A 10,280-nucleotide genomic window follows, 5' to 3' on the forward strand; every position below is an offset into this window, starting at 1 on the left:
CAGAATGTAGTCACATAACCACATCCAGCTGTAAGAAGTGCTGGAAAATTTAACTTAGCCAGGAGTATTGCCAATGTGAACAAAATCAGAGTTCTATTACGAGGAAATTTGAAGAGAATGGTTACTTACTGGTGACTAATAATTCCTACCAAAGTGGCCAAAGAAAACTATAACATACTGGGTTACAGTTGAGTAGATTTCTTTACTGTATTTTTCAGAGCTTTTTAAGTGCAAATGTGCATTGTGACATTTCCAGTATGGGATATGTGTTTCCTAATTATTCGATTATAGATTCCCATTATTTCAGAGCATCGTGTGAAATTCACAGTGTGAGAAATAATTTTGAGGATAGCTGCATGCGAAGATCTCAAGTTTTCTTCGTTATTGACAAGGTGTTACATTATCTAGATCAGGGTCCCCTCTTCCTCACCAGATCCCCCAAGAGAAATCCAGATTTCCGCTATTCTTTCCCTCCTGACAACCCTCTGAGTACTCCTGATAATCTCAGGAATTATTCCAAAGCCCCCTGTGGGCATTGCCCTCCCTGGTCTGAAGGGGACATATGAGTACCTCATCTCTGTCATTGTCGTATGTAGTCAGGCATTGATGGATACTCGCCAAGATGAGATCATGATCATGTTAGGCAGCAAAGTCTTGATTTTATTCACATCAAGTTAGGTTATAATTGGAAGAGACCAGAACGAAGGGTCCCATTTTAGGAAAAGCCCTTTATGCAGCAAAATGCAGTGACCACATCATCATGATTTAAAGGGGACAATTGTGAATTAAAAACAAAACAAGTAAAAAAAAAATACTCTTCCACGTGTTCCCTTCATGCAAGGCCCTGTGTTAGTTCCATTAGCAACGCGATGATCTATGATGATGTCAACACACAATTCTAAGTTTCAAAGCTTTGCAGGGGCATCACTGACCCATGCATACATGTTTATTGAGTCCTTATAATGTGTGAAGCCCTTTGTGCTTGTCTTTTAAAAACTCATGGGTCAAGCAGTAGAGAAGAATCCTAAATAATTAAGTTAGAAAAGAGTTCTGGAGGTCTTCACAGAGCTGCTGATGGCTGATGGAGCGAGATGCCCAGTAATGAGGAACACGAACTCTAGAATAAGACACGCATGGGAATGAGCCTTAGCAATGCCATTTCCTAGACCTTGAGTAAGTTATTTAACAGCTCTGCCTTAGTTTCCTAATCTGTAAAATGGAATAAAGAAGAGATTTCATTTCATAAGATAGAATTAGCTCTTAAACAAATCACGCGGGCCGGGTGCAGTAGCTCACGCCTGTAATCCCATCACTTTGGGGGGCCGAAGCTGGTGGATCACCTGAGGTCGGGAGTTCGAGACCAGCCTGAGGAACATGGAGAAACCCCGTCTTTACTAAAAATATAAAATTATCCAGGCATGGTAGTGCATGCCTGTAATCCCAGCTACTCAGGAGGCATGGTTGCAGTGAGCCGCCGAGATCATGCCATTGCTCTCCAGCCTGGGCAACAAGAATGAAACTCCTTCTCAAAAAGATAAAAAATAAATAAATAAAAACACACCTAGCATCTTACCTGACATGTGAACATCCAGCAATGACATTTGTTGTTGTTAATGTTATTCATTCTTATTATTTTTATGGCAATATGGCAGTGGGGATACACAAAGGAAAGGAGGATGGCTCAATCTTGGAAAACAGGGACTGAGCTACCACTTTACATGGTAAAAACTTTAAATGATTTTCAGAAGAAAAAAGTGTTCGAGGAGATGATGATATTTCAGTGGTCATCTAGACCTGCCTGTCAAACAAAACATCAAACCTAGTTCGTAGTCTGGGCCATGCTGGTTTTCAAGTCTGCTGTTTACAGCAAGCTCCAGCCAGTTCCAACTGGCAGACATATTGCTTCAGCCAGGACGGTCTACACATTAGAATTTAAGTGATCCTCTCACTTGATGACCTGCCCAGTTTCTGTGGGATTTTTTTACCTGGCATATTTTTGTGTTTACACGCCTGGCCCTATTCTGGGGGAAGATGTTGCTAAGAGGAGAAACAGTGGTGAAACCCTATAGGAGGAGTGAGGCCTGGACCAAAAAATCCACGATAAGGTCAGAAGCCAGGAAGGCAGAGAACAGGACTGAGCATGGGTGAGGTGAGTGGACCAGGCCAAGGTGTGCAGAACCAGCCTCCAGACGCACTGTGCTGGCTCCACAGAGCCATTCACAGCTCATCACAACCATCCTTAACCACTGGGCCACTCTGGGCAAGTGACTTCCTCCCTCCAGTGCCTCTAGTTTTCTCATGATGAAAGATGTGGGTAAACGACATCACGACGGTCACTTTCTGAATTCTGATTTCAATTACACAGCTCCCTAGATGCAAGACAGAAAGATTTTGTCAGAGGAGAGAGTATGTCTTCATCCATCGACCCACATATGCTATCCAGAAGCTTCTGGGGTTCTTGGAATTTCTTGCAAGAAGTCCCGCTCTCCGAAGAATAATTCCCAACACCACAGTTTCTTTTAATAAGGAGTTACATCATCTTTTTAGAGACTACCACCCACAGCCTCACCACAGATGGATTGTTCTTAAAAATGAAGTCTTTGGATGTCGAGGTCACCCCGAGCAATACAGCATAGGAGCATTGGGTCCAGGCCTCCCACCTCTCAGCCCCCTCACTTCTGCCCACAGAGCAAACCAGCAGGACAAGAGAAGGTTTTCGCTTTTCATGCAAAGATGATTCCTTACTCCTCAGCTGCATTTCGGTGTTTACTGCACTAGGTTTAGCAATGCTTCACAAAACGCCTGTTCACAAAGTACAAAGAAAATTAAAGTGAGGTTTTTGTGATAAACATGATAGTTTTCATTTCCATTTTTAAGGCTTCTCGAGGATATTTAACTGATTTGTCCCACGTCCTGCACTTTGTTTTGTTCCAGTTCTATAATGGGAGTATTAATTGGTAACACTTTTCCACGAGGCCTGGAAATGATTACAGGAAAGAGTGAACATAAGCTGTAAAGTCCTCACTTACCAGAGCCACAGAAGATATAGAGTTGCACATTGGAAAGCATTCTTTTCAAGGCAGCCTGTTCAAAGGTCTTGAAAGCAAATGTCATCTGGGTGGCATCTTCATGTGCTGGAGTCACCACAGTGGCTGCAAAAGAGTCCCTGGCATTGGCTAAACTCCTTGTGCCACATTTGATAGTCATTCAATTTAGCCAGTTTATCTTAAAGTCTGCAATTTGAGGATTGTCATAATTTGTATAAGTTTCCTATGAAGAGTAAATGAAATAGCAGGCCCCAGTCATCTAATAAGGACCCAAAAATCATTCATACCTTTCTTCTTTTTCTCCTATTGGCACAAGGATTTCATTTATTAAGTTATTTTTCCAAAATGTAATTCTTTTATTTACTTGAAGCCTTGAAAACCTCTAGCAGTATATGGACTGATTTTTCAAAAATTAACAAGCTATATCAAACATGTGTTAAATTTATAAAACCGTGCTAAGCACCATGAGAAAAAAAGTTGATCCCTTATTCTAAAGGCACTTAGTTGGAATGGCAAAGCAGAAATGCAAGCATAAATGAGCGACTGTGAAAATCTGAAGCAGGATATTAGTAGGGGTGCTCTTTTGTTACTTGGGGTGATGGGTCAACAGCAGAATGAGTAGTATGTCTGTGAGCTCCTCAGGACCTTCACTTCTTTCTTTATCTCTGCAGCCCCCATGCTTATAGTCTATGATACACAGTGGGATATCAGTAAGTGTGTCTTTGGTGGATGGATGAGTAGGTGGATAGATGAATGAATGAATGAATGAATGAATGAAAGTTCAATTTGTTTTTTTTCATGACCAGCAGTAGACTCACAGATTGTGGGTCAGCAACAGGAACAAGGCAGAGTAGAGATATTATAATTGTCTCTACCCCAATATGTCTGGGGTCACAGCTGGTACAGTTGACTGAGGGCTGGCTCAATGGCTGGACCTACCTGGAGGCTCATTCATTCACATGTCTGGTGTTTGATATTGTCTGTAGGCTGTCAACAATGGGAACACCCACGTGTTCTTCCCAGTGGCCTGAGCTTTCTCACAACATGGAGGTTCTAAGGATGACATCTCAAGGAAGAGAGTCAAGCAAGGGCTGCCTGGCCTTTACTCACTCAGAGGTCATGCAGTGTCTCTTCCACCCTGTTGGTCAAGGCAGCCGTCACAAATGCCTCCCACGTTCAAGGGGAAGAACACAGAAACTGCCTCTGGATGGGAAGTGACAAAGCCTTGGAAGAGCCCATGGAACTAGAAATATTGTGACCATTTAAGAAAAATCCTCCACAAATATGACAAATTGGAATGAATGCTTCTCAGTTCAGACTCACTCAAGTTGGTGCAGAGGTGGGGTGACTGGAACATATTTTTCAGGTGATTTGGAGTTTGGAGCAGGGAAGCCTGGGGAATAGAGTTGGATGAGGATGTTGAAAATTTACTAGCATTCAAAAATCAGGCATGAAGGACTCCTTGGTTACTTATGATATAAAGGGAGGACTTCAGGGAGCACAGGGCCAAAGAAGCATCATTGGTTTGACTGGAGAACTGGAATCCTGTGACAGACATACAGAGAAAGACAAGCCTGTGGGAAGCCTCGTAGCTGGTGGCCGTGGGCCTTGGGTGTTCAGTCCAAAGCTCACCCTCCCCACTTCCCACTTCCCATCTCCATGCCTTGGAAATGGTGGGGAGACACATGGACCCTGTTTCAGGCCAACATGCAGTGACTCAGCAAATGCACCTGAGAGGTTGGGAGAAAAGGAATGAGGGTTGATTCTTATGATTCAGGGGGCTGAGGGAGAACCTACGGGAGAGAAAATTACTCCACTGCTTTTATTTGAAACCGTACTGAAACCTAGTCTTTCCTGAAGGAAATAGAAAAGGAAAAAAAATAATATATCCATTTTCTTGAACGTTGAAGGCCAACTCAGAGATGGAAAGCACTCTCTGAGAAGAACATGTGAGGTCACTGTGTCTCCCCAGTTCTGTTCCCCAAGCAGGCTGACATGGGAGGAACTTCTTATTTTTTCCCTCCGATGTTAATTGAATGTGCAGATAGAGAGGTACTAAAGAGATGACATTAAAATGAAATGTGTCCCCCGGGCACCTACTTCATCTGCGCTCTCACCCACTGCCCTCCATCTCGGCAGAACAACTTATTTTCTGGCCAAGAAAGCCATCTTCAGTTATTACTTCTCTTTGTCTCTTCTCATATCTCTTAATGGAAACGTTCCAGTAGCTGCTGGCTAGAAAATTAGCCATATGAACTCTGATTCTCCCTCTCTCTCATGTTCTTTCTTTCCATGTCTCTCTTCTCCTCAGATTAGTGAGAAAATTCAGCATTGAATCTCTTTCAAACTCTTCTCTCTGCGCAGCCTGTTAACACATGGAAAGGGCTAAGATTAAACCTTAATTTAACTCTGTCTCTCACCCAAACGTCACCAGACTCCTGGCCCAGTTTAACTTTCAATCATTTTCAAAAAAGCCTGGAGAAGTGTGGCTCCACACTGCCTGTGTCTCCTCTGTGACCTTCGTCGCCTGGTCAGACGCCTCGTGATGAAATCCAAGATGGCATTAGGGAGGAGAAGGAGGGTGAGAAGAGATGAATATTTATTGAGTTCTGGCATATGCCAGGCACTTTAAATGCATTATCTCCTTTGATGGAACAGCCCCAAGGAATAAATATGTGTTTCTCTATTTTTTTTCAAGGAGAGAAACTGAGGCTCATAGAGTATAACTCTCTTGTCTAAGTTCACACCAAGATTAAGGGTAGGGTCATAATTTTCTAGCACTGATGCCAATGCTGCAACTGTCCATGAGGCTGGATTGGCCACAAAAGTGCTCAGTGACCGACGCAAACCTAAGGATCAGAAGCCCTCACAGAGACTCTTCCAGTATGTGTTGCCATCTTCCATTTCCAGATAGAAAACTGAAGCTCAGAGAGGTTTAATCACTTTCTCATCCTTCACACATTTAGAATGTAGAAGAGTTGAGACTGGAACTAGGCTCTGCTGTAGTTCAAAGCTCATGCTGTTCGAACTGGAATTACAATTTTGAATATTTGCACTACAGCTAACCCACCTAAAACCAAATTATTTCACTTTATTTCTCCTGGAATACCTAATATTTTTTCCACTCAAAATCAAATTAATGGAAAGATGAGAGCCAAAATGCCTTCTAAAAAAGCAGTATGATAGAATAGTCCGTTGTGTTTTGTTTTTGTTGTTGCTGTTTTGAACAATTATGAATAGTAGTATTAACTCTAACAGGATCAGGCAAGTAGACATGACCAGGAGCTTAGACCAGCAATGACCCTGGAATGATGGATCCAGTTCTTATGAGAAAGGACATGGTACCCAAGAGGTGGGGAGACAGGTAGCAGGCCAAGCAAGAGGCTGTAATTCTCCATTGATGAACGCCAGAGAATCCAAGGGCTAAAACTCAGGGTGGAGCTTATGACATTCACAAATGCAGGAGAGAAGGTAAGAATTCAACATTAGTTAAGTTTGTCATGTCAGCAAGCCAATAGATACTCTCCAAGTTATATGAATAAAGGTGTGTTTATCACAGTGTCATTCAATCATAACAGCCGTATATATACATATATGTGTATATATATATATGTGTGTGTGTGTGTGTGTGTGTGTGTATATATGATTTGTTTATGTATGGATGTTAAGAATCTTCCATTCAAGAATCATTGAATGAATAGATACACTCCTACCCCAAAGAATTATTACACAGACATTATAAAATGTTGCAAAAATTTGCTGAGAAAGAAAAATGACTTTCAGCTCTACTCCCCTTACCCCCTAATATGAGAGGGGGCAAAATTGTCCTCTCTCTGGATAAATTTACCCATATAAAAATATGTAGAATGAACCAGGAGGAAATAGTGCCAAAATATTCATAGCACATGGCTCTACACACACACACAAAATGAGGGTTTGTTTCTTGTTATTTATTCTTTGTTTTTATTTTTTTCATAATAAGTGTCTATTTTGTATAAAATGAGAATATATTGCAAGGTGAGAGACTAAGGCCAAGAGTTTGGAGCAGAGCTGGCTATGAGCCGAGGTCAGGGTCCCCAGCTATGTGCTGTTGGTAGATTTCAACCCACAGGGGCTGTCCAGTATGAGAGTCAGGAGGGAGAAACTAACATGGATGGATGCCCTCTCTGTTCCAGGCCAATGACTTATTATCTCACTCCATCTTCTCAATGTCTTGCTTAAGTATATATACTTATCTCCATTGTTTAGATGTGAACTTGGAAGTTAATAAAGATTAAATAACACATCCAGATTCAGCCAGCTCGAATAATAACAATAGTTAATTATTGAACATGCTTGCACCATAACAAATGCTACGGTCTTTCCATACATATTTCAGTTTAGTCCTTGCTACAGACCCATCTGTCAGGTGCCATGCTTTCCTCAGTGCTACAGATGGGTAGCATGAGGTGCACTTGACTCAACATCCCATAGGTCATAACAGTGGAGTCAGTATTGGGCAGTGAACCCCAGCGAGCACCATAAATGACTTCAGGACACAACCAGCAAAGTCTGCAGCCAGCAATATCAGCATTCAAACTCAGAGTGAATCCAAAAGATGGTCCTCCTTCCAATATAGTTCCTCTGATTACACAAACGTCAAAAAATGAAACAGCAACCAAACCAATGAACGATCCTGATATTTCATTACAGCTCAATCACCAATGCATTATGTACCCTAGTTCATCCTGTCTGAGAGTCTATTTAATTTTTTACATAAGGAGAAAGGATGTGATTTGAGAACCTTTGAAGTCCCTTCAAAGTCCAACCTTACTAGGAAACACATCTCTGCTTTGGAGTCTTTGCTGGCTCACTTTCACCTTCATGTCTTAGAGTCCTTAATAAAAAAGTGTGTGTGTGTGTGTGTTCGCGCATCTATATATACACACATATAAATATACACATATAAAAATATTTATACTTATCCCCATTGTATAGATGTATATATTTACATATGTATAGATGTATATATTTACATATCTTTATGTGTGTATAGACGTATATATTTACATATATTTATGTATGTATAGATGTATATATTTACATATATATGTATGTTACATATGTATGTATGTTAAGAATCTTCCATTCAAGAATCATTGAATGAATATATACACTCCTCCCCCAAAGAACTATTATGCAGCCATTATAAAGTGTTACAACAATTTGTTGAGAAAGAAAAATGACTTTCAGTCTGCCATATGTCACCACCTCATTGCAATGGCTTGCTCAGTATATGTATATATTTACATATATAATATACATATATGAATAGATGTATATTATAAATACATATATATGAATATACATATATAAATATATATATGCGTATTTAAAACTACTTTTACTTTAAAATAATTTTAAAATCACAGGAAATTGAAAGAAATTCATGCAGAGAGTTCTGGTGTACCCTTTACCCAGCTTCCCCCAAAGATAACCAGGAAATTGACATTGGTACTATTAACTAAGTGCTATCATTATACTTTTTACTTATATAATGATAATAAGTATATTATCTTGTATAATTGTATAATAAGTATACATTATACTTATTACTTGTTATACTATCATTATACCAAGCCACAGAGCTTATTTGAACTTTCCTCATTTGCTTGCAATCATCTGTCTAGCTTCCTTTGTCCTCACAAGAGGCCACGCACAAGGAGGAGCCCATTAAGCTGTCCATCCTGTCACCAACTCACTCCTCACCCTTTGCTTCCCAGCAATTTGATCTACCTATGAATCTCCAAGATATCATATTGTTTGATTGTGTTCTGCTCTTGATCCCAAATATCCTTTCTCAACATCACTGCCAGCAAATGTCTCAGATCCCAAGCTCCTATCTTGGTGTTGCCTCTCCTGCCTCTCTTCCCATGTCCCTGCTGCCTGCCATGTGTCACTGCCTCATTGCAATGGCTTGCTCAAAGTCCAGCCCCCTTTGGAAATATGCCTACCTTGGGCTGGGATTCATCTTTACTTTCTGGAGATTTTTATGCCAGCACCATGCCTAAGACACATGCTCACAGGAGGAATGAACAAATGCAACCTGTGAGCTTCAGAGCTATTCTCTTTGTATTCTGAAGTGTCTCCTAAATGAGAACCTCCTTCACCTTAAAAAGCTTCCTACTGAAAGATAATTAATTTAGAAATAAAAAGTATATATAGAATGTGGTACAAAAAAGAAAGAAATATATATATACATACATATATATACTCAAACTATCATTGCACTTAAGGCACTATAGAACTCTTTTATCATTTAAGAGAAAAGCAAAACCACTGTGCATATAATTTAATTTAAACAGTGAAAATAATATTCATTCCACTATGCATTAGAGATACTATTTTAAAATTATTTCTCATATAAACACATTCTCTCCAGTCCTCATTTGTTCTCCTTTTTGCTCCTGCTCTCAGGCACAAATTACTGTTAAGTTGGGCTGAATAATGAATGAAAACAGTCACTGTCGTTAATGACAAAGTGTAATATTGAGCTGATGAGACCTCTTGTTTGCAAAGCTTTCTCTCTCTTCCTCTTTTTTTTCCCCAAACATTCCTTAGCAAGAATCACTGGCAAAATAGTTTATATTCAACGGAGTATCTAATTGAAAGATTATGAACGCGTGGAAATGTAGACTAGCAGGACTGATATCCTAAGGAAAAAATAAATAAATAAAACAATCCTCCCTTTGGATAAACACACTTACTGGTGTATGGCAGTCTCTTATTCGGAAGAGGAGCTTCCGTTTTAGAGCTTATGCAAGTCCCACAGAGATAAGCTCTCAGCTTATGAATCTCCATCATTGCGTTTGGGAAGGGTTTACTTGAGCAGAGGTTAATTTCGCCCTATTACAGTTGCTGAAGTGCAGCGTGCCTTGACATCAATTTCCTGTCAGACACATGTTCTTTGAGATGTGAGGTTCATGTATATGAACATCGTCTTGGAGAAGGCCATCTGTTTTCTCAGGCCGAGGTGATCTTCAGGGAGTAGGTCAGGTGGGTCAGGTCCAGGGTCTGAATCACATCGGTAGCACTTTCTAGCATTATTTCACTACCTACTCAGGTAAACAGCATTACTCCCTGCCACCTTGGACTTTTATAGATAATACTGAAATATCTCTAAAGTATTTCAAAGTATGTCAATTAGCAAGGGCCCAATTAGAAAATTGTAGAATCTCAATAATTAAAGGATAA

At 40.3% G+C, this 10,280-nt stretch overlaps 1 long non-coding RNA gene across 1 annotated transcript; it reads right to left on the minus strand.

Annotated features, from left to right (window-relative positions):
- Positions 1 to 639: 639 nt before the first annotated feature.
- On the minus strand, positions 640 to 6,242 carry LOC107984706 (uncharacterized). The gene is made up of 2 exons (XR_001750874.2): positions 3,030 to 6,242; positions 640 to 2,802 (listed from the first exon to the last, which is right to left on the minus strand). It is a non-coding gene; the product is annotated as an uncharacterized LOC107984706 (long non-coding RNA).
- Between the last annotated feature and the right edge of the window lie 4,038 nt (positions 6,243 to 10,280).

Source organism: Homo sapiens, chromosome 14 (assembly GCF_000001405.40).
Source record: "Homo sapiens chromosome 14, GRCh38.p14 Primary Assembly".
Lineage (NCBI taxonomy): Eukaryota > Metazoa > Chordata > Mammalia > Primates > Hominidae > Homo > Homo sapiens.